We start from the raw sequence: 23,558 nt of genomic DNA on the forward strand, positions 1-23,558 counted from the left end.
CTTTTTTTTTTTTTTAATCTGAAAGCCCAAAATAGACTCCATGTGGTTCTAAGTGAAGTCAGCCCTTGGCTGGCTTTGAAATAGCTCCTGCAATTATGTAAAAGAGCCATTCACCAACAGGACGGAATTAAAAGGGATCTCGCCCGCTTCCCTTTCATTGCCAACCTCTCATGTTTGGCTTTTCAAAGCACTTCCAACACGATGTCTTTCTCCAGGACAAAAGGCAGAACAAAAAAAGTCCCCAAACTTGTAAATTGAACGTCAAGGGAACTTTAAACAATTTAAAGCCCATAAATAATGATAAAGGGGACTGGCAAAAAAGGCAAACCCATTCAATTAATAGAGTTTCCCAAGCAAAGATCAAGTGGTTTATAAAATAAAAGTCTTTGGTTTCATTATTCTGCTCCTTGACCATGCAGAAAGCAGGACAGGGGGTTTTCTAAAGCTCCCTGAAGAAGAAACACTTTGCGGGACTGTGTGTGCTGCGACATTCTTATGTAGAAACTTTGCTTTTTGTCCCCCACCCTCAAAGTAGCAGAAACAAAACAACCGCAAAATAGAAATGTGAAGGGGAGGGGCTTTTCTTCTTCTTCATTTCCTCCTGGGAGTTGAAAAATGTTATCCGCAGGCCTGAAGGCTGGGAAACGTGACCCTTCACACCTGCGCCGCCCTCTCCACTCCAGCGACGAGGAACAGGAGGAGCCACAGCCGCTCGGCCCGCGAGGCGAGCCCTCGTGGCATCTGGGAATGGGAGGGTGGGGGTGGAATGCTACACAGCCCCGGAGCCCCTGGGGCGGCGGGCGCTGTCGCGCCGACGGCGCACCCGGCGAGCGTTGCGTGCGCTTGGAGCCCGGGACTACCCCAACTCCACGCGGAACTCGGCTCCCCCGGCCGGGATCCAGATGTCCGAGGGCGCTTGCGGGTGTCCTAGTTCTTTTTCAGAGCAGCCGTAACGATTGAGGCTGGGGAGTTCAAGACCACTGGGGGTAACTGATCGCCCATCGCCCTTCGTCCTGGAAGCCCAGCGCCCGCGCTCACCGCGCGTCTCTCCGGGAGCACCTAGCCAGGCAAAGGGGGATTCTCCGTGGGGACTGAGGCGTACGCCCGCCCCGGGGCTCCCGGCTTGGGAAGAGGGAGCACCAGGCGAAGGCCAGGCTGGGGGCTCGGGTCCAAGGGCTGCAGCTGTGCGGGCGGAGGCCGGGGGTGCGGGCGGGAGTGGTGTCCCCTTGTGTCCTGCCCGGGTCTGGCTCCGGCCGGGGTTCTGGAGGCCGCGTCCGTCGGCGAACCCCAGCCCTTGGAGTGTTGGGGAGGGAGACGCCGGCCGCCAGGCGCTTCTCACCTGGGTTTATCTCCTCCCATCTGCTCCCTCGGATTCCCGAGGCCCCACCTTTCGGGGACTTCAAACGCGCCCTGCCACCCGGTGCCCGGCTTTCATCTCCCGCACAGCAGGCATTGTTTGCGGGACTTCACAGAGATGCTAATCCCCGGGCCGCGTGAACCGCGGCCTGGGAACCGGGCAGAGGGCACGGAGGGGTGAGGGGGTGCGCTTTGGCCTGGGCTGGGGACCTTCGGGATGGCCTCTCGGGCAGCCCTCCTGAGGAGCCCGGGTCTGCTACCGTGCGGGCGCCGCATCCCGCCTGCCTCGTCCTGGAAGGCTGCGGGCACGTCGCAATGGGCCTGGGCTGGACGCAGCCAGCGTCCAACACACGGAGAAGGAAGAAGCAGAGGCCAGAGACGATGGCCGGCGCTTAGCTGTGAGCCCCATGAGCTTCCAATGCTCGCCAGGAGACCGTGTGTCTAGGAGAGGCAGGCCATGGACCCTATGAGTCTTCCCTGGAGGCTGGAACCCCCCGGGACTCCTGGACACCCCAAACCAAGTCCCCAGCCGCTGCCTCCACGACGGCCCCGACCCCCTTCAGGGAAGTAGTATTTTAAAGAGGATGCGGTCTGCCCGGAGGGCACGCATTTAACCCTTTAGAAACCGCGCTGGAGGGAGCAGAAGGGTGTTGAATCAACAGCCATGCACACCAGGGGCACCCCTCCAACTTTAGCTTCTTCCGGGACCAAATGAGCAGTGATTGCTGTAGCAAGAACTGTTTCTTCTTCCAGAAAATCCTGCAAAGCAGAGCCTGAATTTCCTCTGGTTATTTCCTCCTCCTGAAAAGAATGTCACAAGACAGGGGCACGGCGTTGGGTATGAATGGAAAGGAGAGATGTTGGCTAAATGGGGAGTGAGAATTGGAATGGCCTCTGTCACTTGTAACAAATGCCCCCAGGTGGAACTCCCAGGCGAAAGTCATTGTAAAAGTCATTCAAAAGTCATTGGAATTCCCAGGGAAACGTCACTCAGAAATAAGGTCTTCTGTAAAACTCAAGGGTAGGTGTGTCTGTAACTGATCAACTAGCCCCATTGACATTGCTCTAAAGGATCCCTGTGCCTATCAGAGAAAGCTCCTTAGGGAAATCACCCTAACTGACGGACTTTTCCCAGGAGAGAACAGGAGGGGAGTGTGTGCTGATGCGAGGTGGTGGGGGGTCCATTCTGTTAACAAAAAAGTGAGGGCAACAGATTCCCGTCCTTTAAAGAAAGTAAACAGGATCACTTCACTTAAAGTAGGGCACCAGACTTACAGAATCAGAGAAAAGAACACTTGCCCTGAAGCCAGCTGGGGCAGACACATTTCCTTATCGGAGGAGCATCCTAGGGTAGATCTTTGCTCTTGTTTGAGAGACTTGAAAGCCCTGGAGAACCAGAGCCAGTGATGACAGACTCAACTGCCCCCACCCCCTTCAGGCTCTTGGAACCCTCACCTATCCTGGGCTCCAAGGTGGGCTGTGAGGTCATGGTCTCACAAGAGGCTGAGCCAGCTCCTGAGCCATGAGAAATGCAAGGTAGGCTGGGGCCATCTCAAACAGTTCCACAGTTAAGTCACACCTCCTGATCATTCTCTGCCACTGGCCAAGAAGGTCGGGATGAGTTCACAGGAAGGAGAGCCTCTTTGTTTTTAGATCTGCAATTGTTCCCAGTGCCTCAGGTTCTTTAAGTACACAGCCCCTTCTTGATGATTGCAGAAATAATTGGGAATGGTGACCTCCTTGGCCTTTGAAACCTTTGAGTTTCTTCCATTTATCATGGGAAAAAATACGGAGAACTCAATTTGCATGACTTTGCTGCAAACAATTACATCTCCCTATGGGTGTGGCCTGAAGTTCCCAAGCTTTAGAAAAAGAGGGAACCAAGAGTGAGGTCAGAGAACAAATCCAAAGATCCCAAAGTATTTCCAGCGAGTGACCAAAAACTGCTAGAGTGTGTGTGAAATAAATAGGAACCTGAGGGAATGAGGAGAGAGTAATTCTTTGAGTCACAGTGGGAAAAATCCAGAAAATTGTTGGAATCCAGAATGCTGTCTCTCAGACATTCCTAGAGGACATTTCTGGGTTTTGTAGGAAATGAAAACATTTTGCATGGGGCATGTGGTCCGTGTGTGTGTGTGTGTGTGTGTGTGTGTGTGTGTGTGTGTGTAGCAAGTGTTTTTTTTTTCTTTCTCTCCAAATGATGAACACAGAGTTAAAGAAAAGGTGTTCAGACTTCGCTATCTAGTATTTATTCTGCACAGTGACTTTAAAACACCCCTGCAGGGGGAAGTCATTCACAGGACCATGTGTCATTTCCCTGCGGTTCCTTTACACCCACACATGGAGGCGGGCAATTGCTATCTGCAGGGGACATAGCCATTGACACCAGAAGAGGAGCTGGGGGCTGGTTCTGGGGGGGTCCCGTGTGTGTCAGATGCCTAGTGTGACCAGGCCACAGCACAGCAGCCACCGCTGACAGTGACTTTGTGAATGGGCCTCTTCCAGGCCCTCTGTCTCCCAGCTCTCCCTCTGGGCATGTGAGAAAAACTAGTATGGGTATGGGAAATGAACCAAAGTCAGAAGCTAATCTGGCTTGTCTCCACCTGGACAAACCTGTTCCCTGAAGTCTGTGACAATAATGAACATTGAAGCTTTAGAAAGAGCTGAAACTGATCATGGCTCAGAAAATGACGATGATTGGACTGGATATCATGTGATCAACTTTGATGCCTCCATTGAGTTCAGGGACTTTCTTCTTCCCCTACTTACCCAACCTCATTCCCTCCCCATCTCCTTATTTTATGCAGGTGAGTGTTTTAGAATCTAATTGTTACCTTGATATTCCTAGTCTATCTCTTGGTTATTATTATCAATTTCCCCGTTCTCAAGTTTCTTGTAGACCCAGTTAAAGCACAAACAAGACAATCCTGGAAAGCTTAAGAGATGAGTGACTTTTTAAAGTTTAACTTTATTCTAACCAAAAAAGCTTCACGTTCATTTAATTCCCCATATTCTAAGTTATTTGGAAATTTATACTTTAAAATGAAGTGAACTTTATAATGTAGTTTTACATTATATTTTTAGCTGTCTAACAAGGTTATTTCCTATCTGTAAACATAACTCAAATAAGTACTATAGATTTTATAGTTAATGAGGGAATGGCAGGAAACAGTTTTATTTAAGCCTTCACAATTTTTGAAGTATTAACCTGAAGAGCCTCGTGGGTGTGCAGGGCGCTCAAGCACCCGGAGCGCCCCCTATGCACTGCGTAAGTAATGGCATCCGCAGTGGAGGCTGGCTGGGCTCTGATCCAGGGTAGGACAGGACTGTCCATCCCCAGGGGTCAGAAGGGCTGAGAGGTATGTCCTATAGTTGGACAGGAAAAAGATCTCCAGTTTCTTTTCATTTTAAACATCCAGGCCACCAGAGAAGCCTTTGTCATAAACGATGGGGAAAAAATATCAGACCTCCGTGATTGCTGAAGGTGTAAGAAATACCGTCAGATTTTGGAGGTGATCTTAGAAAATCTGCCTCGGCTTCCTTATAGAATCCATGTAAGGTTCTCCCGGCTCTGCCTCACCCTGAGCAGGTCCCGGAAGGGGATAGATAGGAAGCCGTCGGACGTCTGGGCCTGAGGGTCCTGGGCTGCAGCTGAGGCCACTCCCCATCTGCGGTTCTATTTGCCTAGTGGGCAGGAATCCCCGCTCTCCTCCACCAGCGGCCTGACTGTGTCTCAAAAAGGGGATAATTAATATAGCACGAGTTGATATGGGCACTGGGCACTGAACTCGATCGTGTAGCACACGTGGGCCGGGCGCCTGGCCCAGAGAGGATGCTCAGGAGGGCAGCTGCAGGAGCGAGCACGCTGCAGGGCGCTTGGGGAGCGCGGGCCAGCCAGGGGCGAAAGCCTGTGCTCTCGGAGTGAGAGTAGCCGTGGGAGGGCAGCCTCTGGGCTCCAGATTCTGGGGCATTATTTATTTATTTATTATTAATTGATTAATTAATTTTTGAGACAGAGTCTCACTCTGACACCCAGGCTGGAATGCAGTGGCGCAATCTCGGCCCACTGCAACCTCTGTCTCCTAGGTCCAAGCGATTCTCCTGCCTCAGCCTCCCAAGTAGCTGGAATTACAGGCACGTGCCACCACGCCCGGTTCATTTTTGTATTTTTAGTAGAGACAGGGTTTCGCCATGTTGGCCAGGCTGGTCTCGAACTCCTGACCTCAAGTGATCCACCTGTCTCGGCCTCCCAAAGTGCTGGGATTACAGGCGTGAGGCACCGCGCCCGGCCTCTGGAACATCTAAAAACAGACCAGAGGCCACCCAATGGAACAGGATGCAGTGTGACATTTCACAACATACGACGCCTCTCCTGGGAAGGGAGAGCTCGCGAGCGCCTCTACTGGGTGGGCGCAGCGCCATCCCCATTGCACGAACCGAGACGGAGGTGCGGAGGCCGTGTCTGGCCCTGGAGAGTCCTCCCTCTGTCGTCTGCTCTCAGCACCAAGTCTGGCATCGCCAGGGCGCCAGGCACGGCCTTCCCAGGGAGAAGCCTTTTCTGTCATTTTTGATTATTTTACTTTAAATATGTGTGCAAAACCTTAGCTACATTCTCGTGGGCCAGGGATAGGCAACGCGTGCACCTAGACCTCTTGCTTGCCCCCACACTCCGTCTCCCCAGGGCCACCCCCTCAACCCCCCCATGCCATCAGAGTTTTGAACACCGCTGGAGATGGCGGGGGGGAGGGGGGCGAATTTGGAGGCGGGACCCGAACTGCCGGCCAAGGACCAAGGGCTGGCCTCGCCCTTCGCTCCCACTGGGCACCGTTCTCGCCGCGGGACCTTGCCTTGAGCGCGCCCCCTGCGGGCCGCGGTGGGGATTGGCCCCTTGGAAAGAGGGAAATAGGCTGCGCGCGCCGGGGCGGGAGAGGCGCTGCCTCCAGTCCTCCCGGGTGGGGGTCTCCCCTCCGAGATCCCCGAGGGAACCCGTCCCGTGCACTACCGGATTTCCGGTCTCTGACCAGCTGGGGCTTCATTTCTACGCGTGCTTTTACTGCTCTCCTCCTCCTCCGGCGGTTTTTTTTTTTTTTTTTTTTTTTTGAAAGGAGCAAACATCCCCAGCTTTAATGCGGCCCAATTATCTCGTTTGCACGACTTAAAATGTTTCTCTTTAACTCATTTCAATCTAGTAAATATGCTTCAGCAAGTAGCTAATTTCTCAGGGATGGCTTCGCCTCGCCATTTGCATATAAAGCGCGTCGGGGCCCGGCCCCTTCTCCGAGTGCGCGAGTCCCTTCTTCCGGTGCGCGGGTGGCAGGCAGCCAGGCCTCCTAGTCCAGGGAGGTCGCCTAGGTTTGGCCTAGGGAAGGCGGAGTCTGGGGTCCGCGACAGTGCCTGGGGACCAGGGTGGCAGGGAGGGCAGGGAAACTTGGGCCGGGGAGGGACCAGGACCTTCTGAGCCCCCCAACTCCCCCGCCTCCCCGGCCTCCGCCGTCCCTTATTCCGAGGAGGGGCGCCCGTGGGGTAACACGTTGGCGCGAGGGTCGGGGGCGCATTTATCCTTAAGTGCGTTTATTAAATCGCGTCTGGAGATGGATGGACGTGGATACAGGAGAGGAAATCTCAGGGCTCAGTCGAGCAATCTCCTGGCTTTAAATTCCGAATAAAAGTCTCAAATATTCCCGGGTCATGGGGGCACTGTCTCATTAAAACCACTCTCGTCCTGAAACTGCAATGCAGACATTAAAGTGCAGTATTTTTCAATTAGAGCTGACGAATTCAATCAAAATTCCATAGATTAGGATGAAATGAGGCATGGGTCATTTACAGGGGAATTTAATTGCCGAGCCATTAGACAAATAGTATATTTGCCATTCCCGCGTTATCCATCATTTTCGACATCAATACCGGGGCCGCATCTCCCCGTCCCGCGGCCGCCCGGCGTCGGCTGTAAACACTCCCTTCCCTGTATCTTCTGATTATATCTGATTTCATTTAGGGCCATGGGGGATTATAAATGTTCACGCAATCAAGTTCATTAGGACTTCAAATCGCATTTCTGATTGGGATCGCTCTGCCGCCGTCCTCCCAGCGCCTTTCAAACCCCAGCGCTTGGCTTTCAAAACATCTTTTTGAATTTAAAGCCTCACATCCTTTTGTCTTCCGACGCCCCCTCCCGCCCCACCCCTCCCGGCGGCTGCAAGCTCTTCGGGCCTCCTTCCCGGGGCAACAGCCCTGAACCCCTCTTGCTGCCAGCGGGTCTGGGGAGGGTGGGGCTGGGCTCCGCAGGCTGTCGGAACCCCCTCCCACGCCGCGCAGCCGCGGGGCGCTCGTGTCCCTGAAGCCTGAGCTGGGCGTGGAGGACAGGCCCCGCGTGTTCGCGGATCGCGAGTGGGGGCCAGCCCCGCACCTCCCGTCCCGGCCGGGCGCTGCGGGTAGGGGGAGCGGAGCGGAGGGGGCGCCTCCCACCTTTGAATCTCCTGGCTGAGGGCCTCTGGGCAGCGATTACACCCACCCTTGGGGACTGGTGCTGGGGACCCCTTCCTGGGCTGGTCCCTTTCACTCCAAAGCCCCAGGTGAAGGCGGTAGCCGGTGGAGCAACGCGCTCTTCCTATCAGCAAACCCAAGAAACAAAGGGGGAGGCTCTTCTGGGGAGAGCGCGACAAGAAAGGCTCAAGACATCCCTTCCAGCACAGCTGAAAAATAATAGCTTAATATTAACTGCTTCTCATAAAAATATACTTTCACAGAGACACAGTTACAAGAAGCAAACCCTCATTTTATCCCGTACTTTGTGCTCATGGCTGTTAGCTGCCTCAGTAATTTAATTGGAATGGAACGTGAGAAATGTGTCATTTTTGAAGAATTTATGCATCACTTCCTAGAAATCTCATTGTGTTAACTAGGAGCCTACTGCGTTCTGTTTAGAACCCATAATCACATTTTTATGTGTCTGTATTACGAGTTAATGTGACCTCCTGTCTTTAGCAGATAAAAAAAATGTTCTCTTGCGATAACATCTGTATCAAACTCTGGCTTACATCAAATACGCCACAACCCTGGTTTTCCAAGGTTCTCCAAACTTACGAACTTTCTTAAGAGCAGGGAAAATAAATGTGAATGGAAAAAGCGTCTACCAAATGAATAATTACCCGCTAAATTAAAACCCTGTGTTAAACATAGTTGACAGCAAATACTGCATTCTCAATCATGTTTTTTGCTTACAAATTGCATTACAAAGAAATCCACCGTTTTTATCGGAGTGATTAAGCAAAGAATGTTAGGACTGCAGAAATACCATTCTGGAAAATTAGATGAAGGCTGAAAACCCAGCTAGTTACATTGCAATAGTAAATGTATAATTTTGTTAAAGAACACGTTTAACACACAAATGAGGATTGGGATGTTATTATGGTATCATAAAAAATTCAACTGAAAATTATATTTATTTATAAACACATTAACTATAAACTGCACATATTTAATACAAAGGAAGCAGGCAATTCCATAATCAATATTTTAATTATTGAATTTTTTATTATGGCAGCACGATTCTATATGATAGTTTACGAATCTGTAGTTTTCGTAGGCTCCCCTCCCCTTTATCATGTGAGCTAAGATCTTCCTGTTTTCCTCCTTTTTAAATTCTGGGGAGAGTAGGTTGGTGGGAGAGGGTAAGACCGTTTGCTTATGGCGCCACCTGCAGGCCTCTCTGAAAATGAATTTCAATACCTATTCAATCTTCCGCAGGGTTCTAGATTCCTCAGGCTTATTTTAGCAATTTAGTGAAATTAATTTTTGTTTTAACAGAGAAAGATGTTAACAATTTCAACGCAAATCCCGGAGTTTGAAAAGGATTTTGATGTTCTCAAACTACACTTAAATCCTAGAAATGAGATGCAGTATTGACCATAATTGAAATACAGGGGTTTCTGCATATCCCATCTGGACATAACAAATTTGACTAAGCAGTAATTTATCCTTAAAATAATGGAATAAAAGATACAACATTCCTGATTTATCCCTTGGCCCTTGGGCAGCCCTTAAAAGATGAAAAGCACTTGGCAAGCTAATAGCACCCGAAATTGTAGTGATTGAGCAGCTTCTTAGGTGCCTGGCGTGGACAGGAGGTGGGGGCACTGGAGTGGACCAGCTCATTCCGCAAGCCTGTATTTTACACCATTTCTGCAGAAGGTTAAGTGTTCTTTGCAAAAGTTCAACAGCCTGCCCCATCAGTGTGTGTCCAAAGGGTCATTTCAGAGATTGGAAATTTGACAATTATATACAGTTAACTGGGATCAGCAAATGCTCCATAGACTTAAAGAGTCAGTGGCTTTGATTTTCTTTAAACCATACTGAGTCGATGATTATCAAGTAACTTAAATCAACGTAAATATACTAAAAAGGCAGGCCTAATGCTGGGTTCAGAGTTTTAAACATAACACGTCACACAGTACTGGGTCTGTGTACTAATTGCCTGTGGACTGTGGATTGTGTCTGATGGTCCAACCATGAATGTTTCGTCCTGTCCTGGACATGGTTGGTGCGGACAGAGGCCAGCCTCCCCAGGACCAATATTAGTGGAGAGCTTCATTTGTGTATTTTATTTTTTTGAGATGGGGTCTCACTCTGCCACCCAGGCTGGAGTATAGTAGCACGATCTCAGCTCACTGCAACCTCTGCCTCCCAGGGTCAAGCGATCCTCTCATCTCAGCCTCCTGAGTAGTTGGGACCACAGGCATGTGCCACCACACCTGGCTAATTTTTTGTATTTTTGGCAGAGATAGGGTTGCCCGGGCTGGTCTTGATCTCCTGAACTCCAGCAATCCACCTTCCTAGGCCTCCCAAAGTGCAGAGGTTACAGGTGTGAGCCACTGTGCCCAGCCACTTCTTTTTTAATTCTCTGTCGTCAAATGACAAGTAATAATCAAAGACATTCAATAAAAGTTGGAGGCAAAATATTCCTCTGTTGTCTTTTTTTTTTTTTCTTTGACACAGGGTCTCACTCTGTCATCCAGGCTGGAGTGCAGTGGTACAATCATAGCTCACTGGAGCCCTGACCTTCCAGGCTTAAGTGATCCTCCTGCTTCAGCCTCCTGAGTAGCTGAGACCACAGGCGCATGCCACAATGCCCGGTGAATTTTCAAATTTTTGGTAGAGATAAGGTGTCACTGTGTTGCCCAGGCTGGTCTTGAACTCCTGGGCTCAAATGATCCTCCTGCCTCCCAAAAGGCGGGGATTACGGGCATGAACCCCTGTGCCCGGCCCTCTGCTATCTTTTTTTTTTTTTTTTAAAGTAGAAACAGCCAGTAAACGCATCCTTTACTCTTTTGTTACTTTCTGAATTTTGAGCTGTGTGAATGTGTCATTAAAAACTAAATTTGAAATTAAAGGAAATAATTTAGGCCTTGTAGAATTGAGTTTAGGTAATACACTCAGTGAGAAAAAGAATGATGTTCAGTGTGAACTGTGTAAGAAAGGAAAACGTTTTTAGACCCTTTAATAAAACAAACAAACCAACCAACAAACAAACCAGAATATATTTTGTTCACTGGAAAAGAAGTAAGCCAAGATAATTCTAGTCTTAAAGTAGAATGCCTCTTTAGATGTTTATCAACTAGCTTACCTCCCTCTCTCCTTCTTTCCCTCCCTGCTTCTCTAATTGCCTCCTTTCCTTTTCTTGGTTTTGTCTCCCTCCTCCTTGTCTTCCTCCTTCTCCATCTCCTCTTCTTCCTCCTTCTCTATCTCCTCTTTCTTTTTGTTCTCTTTCTCTCTCTTTTTTTTTTAGACAAGGTCTCACTTTGTTACCCAGGCTGGAGTGCAGTGGTGCCATCTTGACTCACTGCAAACTCCACCTCCCAGGCTCAGGTGATCCTCCCATCTTAGCCTCCCGAGTAGCTGGGACTATGGGTGCATGCCCCCACACCTGGCTAATTTTTTGTATTTTTGGTAAAGATGGAGTTTCACCATATTGCCCAAGCTGGTCTCGAACTCCTGGGCTCAAGGTATCCACTCGCTTTGGCCTCCCAAAGTGCTGGGATTACAGGTGTGAGCCACTGTGACTGGCTCTTTCTCTTCTTCTTATTGATATGGTTTGGATGTTTTTCCCTTCAAAATCTCATATTGAAATGTAACCTCCACTGTTGGAGGTGGGGCCTGGTGGGAGGCGTTTGAGTGATGGGGGCAGATCCCTCACGAATAGCTTAGCACTATCCCCTTGGTGAGGGATGAATTCTTGCTCTGGTGGTTCACGTGAGATCTGGTTGTTTAAAAGAACGTGGCACCTGCCCCCTCTTGCTCTCACTCCTGCTTTCACCATGTGACATGCCTGTTCCCCCTTCACCTTCCACCATGATTGAGCTTCCTGAGGCCCTCACCAGGAGCAGATGCTGACACCATGCTTCCTGTATAAGCTGCAGAACCCTGAGGCAATTAAAACTATTTTCTTTATATATTACCCAGCCTTAGGTATTTCTTAATAGCAATGTAAGAACAGACTAATATAGAAAATTGGTACCAAAGAGTGGGGTGTTACTATAAAGATACCTGAAAATGTGGAAGCGACTTTGGAACTGGATAATGGGCAGAGTTTGTAAGAGTTTGCAGGGCTCCAAAGAAGACAGGAAGATGAGGGAAAGTTTGGAACTTCCCAGAGACTGGTTAAATGGTTGTGACAAAATGCTGATAGTGATATGGACAGTGAAGGCCAGGCTGAGGAGGTCTCAGATGGAAATGAGGAACTTACTGGGAACGGGAGCAAAGGTATAACTGGTCACCCTTGTTATACCTAAGCAAAGAGCTTGGCTGCATTGTGTCCATGCTCTAGGGCTTTGTGGAATTTGAACTTAAGAATGATGACTTAGGGTATCTGGTAGAAGAAAGTCTGTTTTTTTTCTTTTTCTTTTTCTTTTTTTGAGATGGAGTCTTGCTCTGTCGTGCAGGCTAGAGTCCAGTGGCATGATCTTGGCTAACTGCAACCTCTGCCTCCTGGGTTCAAGCAATTCTCCTGCCTCAGCCTCCCAAGTAGCTGGGATTACAGCCACCTGCCACTGTGTTTGGCTAATTTTTGTATTTTTAGTAGAGATGGGGCCTTACCATGTTGGCCGGGCTGGTCTCGAACTCCTGACCTCAAGTGATCTGCCCACCTTGGCTTCCCAAAGTGCTAGGATTATAGGCATGAGCCACTGTGCCCAGCCTGATAGAAGAAATTTCGAAGCAGCAAAGTGTTCAAGAGGCAGCCTGGCTGCTTTTAACAACCTACAGTTAGACAGGGAAGCAAAGAAATGACGTAAAGTTGCAACTTATATTTGAAAGAGAATCAATGCATAAAAGTTTGGAAAATTTGCAGCCTAGCTGTGTGGCAGAGAAAGAAAAAACATTTTCAAGGGAGGAATACAAGCAGGCCATTAAGCAACCATTTGCTAGAGAGATTAGAATGGCTAAAAAGGAGCCTAGTGCTAATGTCCAAGATAATGGGAAAAAGCACATTTCAGAGATCTCCAAGGCAGCCCCTCCCATCACAAGCCCAGAGGACTAGGAGGAAAGAATGGTTTTGTGGGGCAGGCCCAGGGCCCTGCTGCCCTGCACAGCCTCAGGACACTGTTCCCCGTATCCTGGCCACTCTGGCTCCAACATCAGCTCAACGGGGCCCAGGTACAGCTTGGGCTGCTGCTTTTGAGAGCACAAGCTGCCGTATACATTGGCGGCTTCCACATGGTGTTAAGACTGCAGGTGCACAGAATGCAAGAGTGAAGGAGGTTTGACAGCTCTCACTTAGATTCCAGAGAATGTATGGAAAAGCCTGGGTGCCCAGGCAGAAGCCTGCCACAGGGACAGAGCCTCCATAGAGAAACTCTACTAGGGCAATATGGAGGGGAAATACAGGATTGCTCAGCTGCTGGATGCAGTTGTGGGAAGGGGATCTCCACCCTCCAGACCCAAGAATGGTAGAGCCACTGGCAGCTTGCAACCTCAGTGTGGAAAAGCTGCAGGCACCTAACTCCAACGCGTGACAGCAGCCATGTGGGCTGCATCCAGGGAAGCCATAGGGGTGGGGCTACCCAAGGCCTTGGAAGCCCACCCCTCACACCAAGATGCAGGATGCGGAGTCAAATGAGATTGTTTTGGAGCTTTAAGATTTAATGACTGCCCTGCCATTACAGACTTGTGTGGGGCCTGTTGACCCTTTCTTTTGGCCAATTTCTCCCTTTTGGAATGGGAATGTACACTCAATTCCTGTACCACCATTGTATCTTAGGAGTAAATAACTTGTTTTTGACCTCCTAGGCTCATGGGTGGAAGGAACTCCAGATGAGACTTGGGGCTTGGGACTTTTGATTTAATGCTGGAATGAGTTAAGACTTTGGGAGGCTATTGCAAAGACATAATTGTATTTTGAAATGTGAGGAGGACATGAAATTTGGGGTCTAAGGGTAGAATGATATGATTTGGATATCTGTCCTCTCCAAATCTCATGTGGAAATATAATCCGCAGTGTTGGAGGTGGGGCCTGGTGAGTGGTGTTTGGTCATGGGGCAGATCCCTCATGAATGGCTTAGTGCCATCCCCTTGGTGATGAGTGAGTTTTCACTCTGGTAGTTCACATAGGATCTGGTTGTTTAAAAGAGTGTTGCGCTGGGCATGGTGGCTCACGCCTGTAATCCTAGCACTTTGGGAGGCTGAGGTGGGCGGATCACCTGAGGTCAGGAGTTTGAGACCAGCCTGACCAACATGGTGAAACCCCGTCTCTACTAAAAATACAAAATTACCTGGGCGTGGTAGCGCATGCCTGTAATCCCAGCTACTCTGGAGGCTGAGGCAGGAGAATCGCTTGGACCCGGGAGGTGGAGGTTGCAGTGAGCCGAGATTGCGCCATTGCACTCTAGCCTGGGTGACAGAGTGAAACTCCATTTCAAAAAAAAAAAAAAAAGAGTGTTGCACCTCCCCACTCTCTTGTTTCTGCTCTTGCCACATAACGCACCTGCTCCCCCTTTGCCTTCCACCATGATTGAAGCTTCCTGAGGCCCTTGCTGGGAACAGATGCTAGCACCATGCTTCCTATATAACCTGTAGAACCCTGAGCCAATTAAACCGCTTTTGTTGATAAATTACCCAGCCTTGGGCATTTTTTATAGCAATGCAAGAACGGACTAATACACTTATCCATGTGGAATTATGCAAGTCCTTTAATTGTAGAACTTCCTAACACATGTAGCACAGAGCATAGCTAAACACAGTCACTGAAACAATATTTTTGTCAGGCATTTTATTTTTTTGCTTTAACAAAGCAATTTGCTAGCCGTAAATACTACAAAACTATGAATAAGTTCCATCTCATCTGATGATTAAGATAGGGCCAGAGAACCCACTAGCCATTTTTGTCTCAAAGAATCACAGCCATCCATAAATCAGGTACAATATTCAACACATCTTGACAGCCACTAGAACCCAGGTGACTTAGAACTCATTTCTAGTGCCAGTTGATTTCCTACCCCTTCTCTTGCAGCTGTGATGTCATGTTCCTGAGAAGTTAGGGGCAGAGTGAAGGATTCTTTCCAGCTGAGGAGGTTCAGTTAATTACTGTGTGACTTGGTCCATGCTGACCAAGAGCACTTGGCTGAAGGTCTGGTTGCCATAGTTCATATGATATTGACTTGGCAGGGTGGGACTAAGGGAATGCTCATCATAGAAATCACCTGACTGCCTGTGGGACACTGATGAGATCGATGGCCAGGGAAGCCACACAGTGCACAAACTGCCACCCGCCCTGGGAATACGACAGCCCCCGTTCAACACAGGCCCATAGGCAGAGAGAACATGGCCAAGAATGGGGCCCTTCTCTCCATGCCTTCCTCATATGCCCAAGTTTCTCCAGCAGCCTTGAGACAACTTGTCCTATACTTGGCTGTGAGCACCACAAGCAGGAGGGCACCAGTCAAGTCTGTCTTGTTGATGATGGATCCTTGGCCCCAAGCACTGGGCTCCACCCCCGGCAGACTTTCAAAAGTGATAGTTAAATGAATGAGCAAATGTCAAGAAAAAAAAAAAAAAAAAGAAACCCAGAAAATAGTAAGTGTTGATGAGGATGTGGGGGAATTGGAACTCTTGCGTATTGCTGGTGGGAAGGTAAAATTGTGCAGCTGCTATGGAAAATAATATAGAGGTTCCTTAAAAGATTAAATCCAGAACTACCATATCATCTGGCAATCCCACTTCTGGGTATACATCTAAAGGAATTGAAAGTAGGATCTGGAAGAGCTGTTTGCACACCCATATTCATTGCAGCATTCTTCACCATAGCCAAGAGGGGGAAACAGTCTAAGTGTCCATTGACAGATGAGTGGATACACAAAATGTGGTATATACAACAGAATATTATTCAGCTTTTATTTATTTATTTTTATTTTTATTTTTTTTTTGAGACAGAGTCTCGCTCTGTCGCCCAGGCTGAAGTGCAGTGGTGTGATCTCGCTTCACTGCAACCTCCACCTCCCAGGTTCAGGCAATTCTCCTGCCTCAGCTTCCCGAGCGGCTGGGACTACAGGCGCCTGCCACCACGCCCGGCTAATTTTTTGTATTTTTAGTAGAGGCAGGGTTTCACCATGTTAGCCAGGATGGTCTCGATCTCCTGACCTCGTGATCCGCCTGCCTCGGACCCCCAAAGTGCTCACTACAGGCGTGAGCCACTGCGCCCAGCCTATCAGCTCTTAAAAAGAAAGAGGCCAGGCCTGGGGGCTCATGCCTATAGTCTCAGCACTTTGGGAGGTCGAGGTGGGAGGATCACCTGAGCCCAGGAGTTCAAGACCAGCTAGAGCAACATGGCGCGAGACCCTGTTTCTACAAAACATTTTTCTTTTTTTTAGTTAGCCAGATACGGTGGCGTGTGCCTGTGGTCCCAGCTACTCAGGAGGCTGAGGCAGGAGGATCAGCTGAACCCAGGAGGTCAAGGCTGCTGTGAGCTGTGTTCATGACACCGCACTCCAGCCTGGGTGACAGAGTAAGACCCTGACTCCAAAAAAAGGAGGAGGAAATCCTGTGGCATGCTACATGAATGAATGTTGAGGACACTACGCTGAATCAAAGAAGCCAGCTGCAAAAGGACAAATATTGTATGATTCCATTTAGTTGGAGGTATTTAGGGCAGTCAAAATTATGGGCAGTAAGTAGACTGGTGGCTGCCAGGGCTGGGGGGAGGGGAAACAGGGAGTTGCTTTTCAATGTGAAAAAGTTCTAGAGAACTATTACACAGCAGTGTGAATCTATTTAACACTACTGAACTGTACACTTAAGATAGCTAAGAGGAATTTTTTTTTTTTTTTTGAGATGGAGTCTCACTCTGTCTCCCAGGCTGGAGTGCAGTGGCACGATCTCTGCTCACTGCAATCTCCACCTCCCAGGTTCAAGCAATTCTCTGCCTGAGTCTCCCGAGTAGCTTAAATTACAGGTGCCCGCCACCACGCCTGGCTAATTTTTTTTTTTTTTTTTTGTATTTTCAGTAGAGACGGGGTTTCACCATCTTGGCCAAGTTGGTCTTGAACTCCTGACCTCGTGATCCACCCGCCTTGGCCTCCCAAGTGCTGGGATTACAGGTGTGAGACACCGCACCCGGTCGGGAAAATTTTATATTATGTGCTTTTTACCACAATAAAATGTAAAAAAAAAAAAAAAAATTAAAAATAAATCAACAAATGAGTGAATGGTTTATTCCAAAGGAACTTCATGGATTAACTCTTCCCCGGAGCATCTGAATTTAAAAATTCTTAGGGGTGAAAATAATGAAAAAGAAATAAGTCCTCCATGTTGGCAAAACTTCAGGCAGCTATGGGGGGACCTTTGGGGATCACTGTGAGAATCGTGTTGCTGTTTTTAAGCTGCAATTTGGGGAAAAATAAGCTTTTGGAAACCTAATAATTGATTATTATTTATTAGATTTTTAGAAGTGTAAAGTCAGTATGTTTTCATTTATTTATTTATTTAAACAGAGTCTTGCTCTGTCACCCAGGGTGGAGTACAGTGGTGCAGTCTCGGCTCACTGCAACCTCCACCACCCAGGTTCAAGTGATTCTCCTGCCTCAGCCTCTCAAGGAGCTGGGATTACAGGCAACTGCCACTGTGTCCAGCTAATTTTTGTATTTTTAGTAGAGACGGGGTTTTGCCACGTTGGTCAGCGGCTGGTCTCGAACTCCTGACCTCAGGTCATCCACCCGCCTTGGCCTCCCACAGTGCTGGGATTACAGGCAGGAGCCACCATGCTTGGCCAAGTCAGTATTTTTTTTTTTTTTTTTTTTTTTTGAGATGGAGTCTCCCTCCGTCACCCAGGCTGGAGTGCAGTGATGCAATCTCAGCTCACTGCAACCTCCACTTCCCGGATTCAAGTGATTCTCCTGCCTCAGCCTCCCGAGTAGCTGGGATTACAAGCATATGCCACCATGCCAGGCTAATTTTTTGTATTTTTAGTAGAGACTGGGTTTTGCCATGTTAGCCAGGATGGTCTCGATCGTCAGTATGTTTTAAAAGAGCTCTGCCTTCTTCCAGGACTCTTAAATACATATTTAAAATTTTAGAAAGTCAGCCAAACTGTTTTCTATAGTAGGGTGGGGTGGAAGGGGTGGCTGGAGGGTATAGTCTTAGAAGACAGGCATATTTCCATTTTCAGAATTCAATGAGGACTGTGCTCCTTAGAGGCCATGGTGGCTGTATTTCTTACTGTTCTTACCCTTGCTATTTAAATAACATTGCTGGCTGGGCATGGTGATTCATGTCTGTAATCTCAGCACTTTGGGAGGCTAAGGCAGGCAGATTACTGAGCCCAGGAGCTCAAGACCAGTCTGGGCAACAAAGCGAGACCCCATCTCTACAAAAAATAAAAAAATTGATGGTGTGCACCTGTAGTCCCAGCTGCATGGGAGACTGAGGCAGCAGGATCCCTTGAGTGCAGAAGGTCGAGGCTGCAGTAAGCCACATTCAAGCCACTGCACTCTGGCCTAGGTGACAGAGTGAGACCTTGTCTCAAAAAAAAAAAAAAAAAAAAAAATTTGCTATTTTTTTCCCCATTTTTTACAGTCTCTATCTTAATATTGGGCTGTTTTCTTTTTCTAATGATAAAACAATCCTAATAACAGAAGGAACCATTTATCAAGTTCTTTCTCTGGGTTGGGCTCTGGGCCTGGGTTTTTGCAGTTTCTCTGCTCAGTGGGGCCTGCAGATCAGGATCCAAGGTTAACAGAAACATCCAAATGCTTGGAGCCACAGAATCTGGGCCCCACTCCAAACCTCTAGAGTCTGAATCTGCATTTCAACAAGATCCCTTCAAATTTGGTGAAGACCTGCCTTACACCAGACATCTTACTAATTCCTAAGTAAGTGAGAGAGGCGCAGATATGTTCACTTCCCAGGTAAGCAAATTGAACCAATTTCAGTTAAGTCATTGTTCTTGGTCAGTGGAGAAGCTCTGAACCTATCTCTAAGGTGTTACCTTGGGCTGCTACTCATCTTCCAGTGTATTGCTTCCCTTTCCAGGACAAAGCAATCTTCCTAGAGTCCCACTGAGACCAAACCTGCTCACTTGCTTCGTGGTTCCTCACAGCCTGTCCAGTGAAGTTCAGAATACTTGGTCTGGAAGCCAAGTACCTCCTGATCTGCCCCCACCTTCTCTAGCCTTGCCTCCTTCCAGCTGCCAAAGCATGGGGATCCTCCTAGCCAGGAGGATAAATCACTATCCCTCCATGGAACCCTGTACTTCCCTGCACACCTGCCTTCATTCAAGTTTTCCTTTGGAGGCAGTGGTAACTCCTGAAAGTCTATGTAGGAGAGGCTTGGGGAGAGTCATCTGCCTGGGATGGGGATCTGAGGGGTCTTGAAGCTGGGTTTACGTAGCCCTTTTGTAGGACAGATCAATTGTCCATCTCAAAGGGTGGGTGAAGGTGGGTCAGCTGATGGAGCTGGGGGATGCTGTCTTATCACTCCCTGGGCAGGTCCACTGTGTTAAAACTTGATTGTCCACCAAGGTGCACCCTGGCTAACTCCTTCATGATGTCCATCCTCACTTCCTGGGCTCTGCCTGGGCCCCCCTTTCACTCCATGATGGGCTTTACTTATGGTGCATATAACATCCCACCTCACCCTGCAGTTATTTGCTGGGGTCTGAATTCCCTTTCCAGATTCTACCAATGGGAGGGTGGTATGGTTTGTATATTTGTTCCCTCCTAATCCCATGTTGAAGTTTGATCCCCAGCATTGCAGGTAGGGCCTCATGAGAGGCGTTTGGGTCACAGGGCCTTGGTGACCTCCCTGCAGTATTGAGTCAGTTCTTGCTGGATTAGTACACTTGGGAACTGATTGTTAAAAAGCCCAGCACCTCCTTCGCTCTCCCTTGTCCCTCTCTTGCCATGTGACACACTGGCTCCCTTTCATTTTCTGCCATGAGTAAAAGCTTCTTGAAAGGCCTCACCAAAAGCACATGCTGGCACAATGCTTCTTGTACAGCCTGCAGAACTGTGAGCTGAATAAACCTCTTTTCTTTATAAATTGCCCGGCCTCAGCTGTTCCTTTAGAGTGATGCAAAACAGACCAATACAGAGGGAGTGTCTCCTCTGAGGTTCATTGGGGCAGCACCTTGCGCTGGCTGTAATGGAAAAAAGAGAGCCACTGCTTGTCCTTGGAGGATGAACATGAAGAGTCTTTGCTTTAAAATACAGTGTATTCATAGAAAATTTGATGTCTCATAGGGCCAACAGATCAGGAGATGACTGCTATTGAAAAGGTGTTTTATTGATCATTGTTCCTAAGAGGAGAGGGTATGCTATGACATGGGGGCAGCCCATGAGGAAGCCCCAGGGTCTTTCAGGAGGCAGGGGAGGAATGGGCAAGAGAGGGCAAGGCTGAAGTTTGTCTAGTTTGGATAATTTCAGCAGACTCTGGGGCATAGGACTTTCCCAAGTTGTGTGGCACTTGCTCTGGAGTAGACAGTGGTCTGGCATGTGAGAAAGAGTGGGATATAAGAGGTGGTTGAGGTGTGGGCTCTGGGCTCCAGATTGGTTGGCTAACATTGGAAAAGCATGCTTTGTGTGGAATTGTTTACTGTTGCTAAGAACCAGCTAAGCCTGGTGGGTGGGGGGCAGTCAGTTCCTCCTGGGTCAGCAAGGCCCCAGATGTCAAAGCATCTGAATAGAGAAAGTAAGCTGGGGGAGGGGGCTCACTCCTGCAATTCCAGCTACTCAGGAGGCAGAGGCAGGAGGATTACGTGAGGCCAGGAATTAGAGCCTGGGCAACATGCGAGATCCCATCATCTATATAAAATAGAAAAAATGATCCCAGTGCAGTGGTGTGCACCTGTAGTCCCAGCTACATGGGAGGCTGAGGCAGGAGATCACTTGAGCCAAGAAGGTCGAGGCTGCAGTGAGCTATGATTGCACCACTGCACTCCAGCCTGGGTGACAGAGTGAGATTCTGGCATATATATATCTGGGCACGTGGAACCAACATACGTTTTCTTCCTAGCCAGACACTGATGGGACAAGCAGGCTTTTCTATGGCTAACTGATCCCAGATAAGTGCACTGGAGAGAGATGCACCATTTTGTGGGAACCACCCTCTACCCCAAGGTGTATATATATATGGAATAGAGAAAATAAGACAAGGTTGATATAGTCCTTGTTGTCTAGAGCATCTCTGTTGGCATGTGACGCTCAGGCTGAGCTGAAGGCCCCTTTGATCAACCTGTGTCTGTTCCTGGCATCTGACTTCCCAGACTGTTCCTGGAGCTGGAGCAGTGGCTTTTGGTGAGGGTGTCACATGAAGACTCACACAGGATGGAAACTTCCATTCACCATCCTGCCGGTGTCCTCCGGGGGAGCTCTGGGCTGTAATATGCTTGGGAGCACTGAGAGCACCGACAGGCCCTGGGCAGGTGCACGTGCCTTGGTTGCAAGTGTCCTTTCTCAACATGCAGGTCCGTTGTGATCTAGGGTACAGAGTTTCCCCGGGTGGTCGGGCCCCAGCGGGGTGAGAGGCCTCTCTGTGAGGGGACGGTCCCAAGGCTCAGGGGCAGCATGAGGGCTGCTAACACACTGGAAAAATACATATACAGTAGGTCCTTAAATAATGTTTTGTTTAATGTCATTTTATTATAACACCGATAAGAAACAAAACTGATTCGGCAGGGCATGGTGACTCATGCCTGTAATCCCAGCACTTTGGGAGGCCGAGGCGGGCAGATCACCTGAGATCGGGAGTTTGAGACCAGCCTGACGAACATGGAGAAACCCCGTCTCTACTAAAAATAAAAAATTAGCCGGGCGTGCTGGCACATGCCTGTTATCCCAGCTACCAGGAAGGCTGAAGCAGGAGAATTGCTTGAACCTGGGAGGCGGAGGTTGCGGTGAGCCAAGATTGCGCCAGTCTCAAAACAAACAAACAAACAAACAAAAAAACAAAAAAGAAACAAGACTGATTCCTGGGCAAGGCCACTGTCTGTATGGGTTTTCTCTGGGTGCTCCAGTTCCCACCCACATCCCAAAGCTGAGCAAGTGAGGTGAGCTGTCGTGTCTGAATTGTCCCAGTGTTGTGTGTGGGTGGGTGGGTGTGGGGGTGTGTGAGCACCCTGCGATGGAATAGCACCCCGTCCAGGCCTGGTTCCTGCCCTGCACACTGAGTTGCTGGGGTGGACTCTGGCCACGCACGACCCTGAACTAGAATAAGCACATTAGAATATGAATGAATGAATGAATGAATGAATACAAATTATTGTAAAGTAAAAATTCATAAGGCATACAATAATCATCCAAATGCATGACAATAAATGATGCGGTATGAGAGGGCCTAGCAAGCCTGCCACATTGGTGACTGTTCTGAACTTCGTGGTGGTAGGAGGTGCTCCTGACAAGGTTCGTTTTGCAAACATTTATTCCTTGATCTAACCCACCAGCAGGACAACCACCATCACATACTGATTCACCAAAAATTGGGTAAATAATTATCTTACTTGTTATTAATCTCTTTTAAAGGTATGTGTAGCTTGCCTTTATTTCAATCTTTACTATTAGAATTGTATTGGTCTTTATTTAGAAGTGTGGTGATCTTTTTGTGACCAGAAATATGCTGTAGGAACATCATTCTTGTTTATATCAATTAACCTTGGGAAAACTGGCATTGTTATACCTCATTTAGCTTAAAGCTGGTTCCCTAGAACCTATCGAAGACCTTAAGTGAGGACTCACTGTACCTTTTGGCTTAACTGTTGTTGAAAGGTACTTTCCCAGACCAAGTGCTGTGATAGTCACGATTTCACTGGATTTTCACAAGCGACCCTGAGAGGCAGAAAGGGCTTTTGTTGCCAATTCCATTTCGAGGTGAACCTGAAGCTTGGCAAGGTCTGTGCTTCACCCGGTCCCACGGAGAGCAAGTGGGAAGGGAACTCCCATCACCTCCATCTGCATCAGGGCACTCTCCAACACACGGCCTCCATGGAAGGTCAGCGAGGAGAACAACAGTATTGGTTGCAGCGTTCTGCGTTTCAGTGCAAAACACCCTGTGGCTCCAAAAGTAGGTAATTCTGCAGGGGCTTTGGCAAGGGTAACAGGGGGATGAGGTCAAAGCACCTTTTGCCAAACAGTCTGCGAAGAGCACAGCGGCAAAGATGCTGCAGGCAGCGTGGGGTGAGGGCCAAGGCAAAGAGGGACTGGTAGAACGGCTTGTGCATCTGGAAGGGAAGGCAGGTGGATTAGAAATCTGGGCACGTGGAACCAACATACGTTTTCTTCTTAGCCAGACCACTGATGGTACAAGCGGGCTTTTCTATGGCTAACTGATCCCAGATAAGCGCACTGGAGGGAGACGCACCATCTTGTGGGAACCACCCTCTACCCCAGGGGCTTGTGTGCTCTCCCAAAGCACAGTTCCTGCCGAGTGAGAGGGGATTCTGACTGGGGTGACTTCAGATGCTCCAGGTGGTCTCCCCGAATTCCGTTTTGCTCCATCCTCTTTGCACAGCAGCCCTACAGCTCCGGGGTGGCCCTGTTCATCTCCCCAAGTCATGACCAGCTCTTCCCTTCTGCCAGGGAGGGGCTCAGGAGCGAGTGCATGGCATTGGTCTGGTGGTCAGTCATGCACACATGACTCAAGTCAGTGAAACAGAAAAAACACACACAACTCTTCTCACTCTCTTTTTTTTTTTTTGAGATGGAGTCTAGCTCTGTCACCCAGGC

At 48.7% G+C, this 23,558-nt stretch overlaps 1 protein-coding gene and 1 long non-coding RNA gene across 2 annotated transcripts in view, besides 6 other annotated features; one reads left to right on the top strand and one right to left on the bottom strand.

Annotated features, from left to right (window-relative positions):
• The window catches only part of GBX2-AS1 (GBX2 and ASB18 antisense RNA 1), a 46,784-nt gene that overhangs the window by 4,563 nt on the left and 18,663 nt on the right, over positions 1-23,558 (top strand). The window lies entirely within an intron of this gene.
• Positions 614-1,401: an enhancer, noted in NCBI's record as "H3K27ac-H3K4me1 hESC enhancer chr2:237081261-237082048 (GRCh37/hg19 assembly coordinates)". NCBI's record gives its function as "activates a minimal SCP1, AML or CMV promoter by ChIP-STARR-seq in naive H9 embryonic stem cells {active_cell/tissue: H9 hESC(naive)}" and the evidence as "EXISTENCE:reporter gene assay evidence [ECO:0000049][PMID:30033119]".
• Positions 1,402-2,187: an enhancer, noted in NCBI's record as "H3K27ac-H3K4me1 hESC enhancer chr2:237082049-237082834 (GRCh37/hg19 assembly coordinates)". NCBI's record gives its function as "activates a minimal SCP1, AML or CMV promoter by ChIP-STARR-seq in naive H9 embryonic stem cells {active_cell/tissue: H9 hESC(naive)}" and the evidence as "EXISTENCE:reporter gene assay evidence [ECO:0000049][PMID:30033119]".
• Positions 5,582-5,876: a silencer, noted in NCBI's record as "tiled region #4909; HepG2 Repressive DNase unmatched - State 4:PromP". NCBI's record gives its function as "represses a minimal TATA promoter and a strong SV40 promoter by Sharpr-MPRA in HepG2 cells {active_cell/tissue: HepG2}" and the evidence as "EXISTENCE:reporter gene assay evidence [ECO:0000049][PMID:27701403]".
• Positions 6,082-6,376: a silencer, noted in NCBI's record as "tiled region #229; K562 Repressive DNase unmatched - State 4:PromP". NCBI's record gives its function as "represses a minimal TATA promoter and a strong SV40 promoter by Sharpr-MPRA in K562 cells {active_cell/tissue: K562}" and the evidence as "EXISTENCE:reporter gene assay evidence [ECO:0000049][PMID:27701403]".
• Positions 7,318-7,835: an enhancer, noted in NCBI's record as "H3K27ac-H3K4me1 hESC enhancer chr2:237087965-237088482 (GRCh37/hg19 assembly coordinates)". NCBI's record gives its function as "activates a minimal SCP1, AML or CMV promoter by ChIP-STARR-seq in naive and primed H9 embryonic stem cells {active_cell/tissue: H9 hESC(naive and primed)}" and the evidence as "EXISTENCE:reporter gene assay evidence [ECO:0000049][PMID:30033119]".
• Positions 7,836-8,351: an enhancer, noted in NCBI's record as "H3K27ac-H3K4me1 hESC enhancer chr2:237088483-237088998 (GRCh37/hg19 assembly coordinates)". NCBI's record gives its function as "activates a minimal SCP1, AML or CMV promoter by ChIP-STARR-seq in naive H9 embryonic stem cells {active_cell/tissue: H9 hESC(naive)}" and the evidence as "EXISTENCE:reporter gene assay evidence [ECO:0000049][PMID:30033119]".
• ASB18 (ankyrin repeat and SOCS box containing 18) overlaps positions 21,455-23,558 on the bottom strand; it is a 70,948-nt gene continuing 68,844 nt past the window's right edge. The window contains exon 6 of the mRNA NM_212556.4: positions 21,455-23,053. Within this exon, the coding sequence (NP_997721.2) occupies positions 22,868-23,053 (186 nt within the window). The 3' untranslated portion in view covers positions 21,455-22,867. The remainder of the gene's footprint in view (positions 23,054-23,558) is intronic.

The sequence above is a fragment of the Homo sapiens genome, chromosome 2 (assembly GCF_000001405.40).
Source record: "Homo sapiens chromosome 2, GRCh38.p14 Primary Assembly".
NCBI lineage: Eukaryota > Metazoa > Chordata > Mammalia > Primates > Hominidae > Homo > Homo sapiens.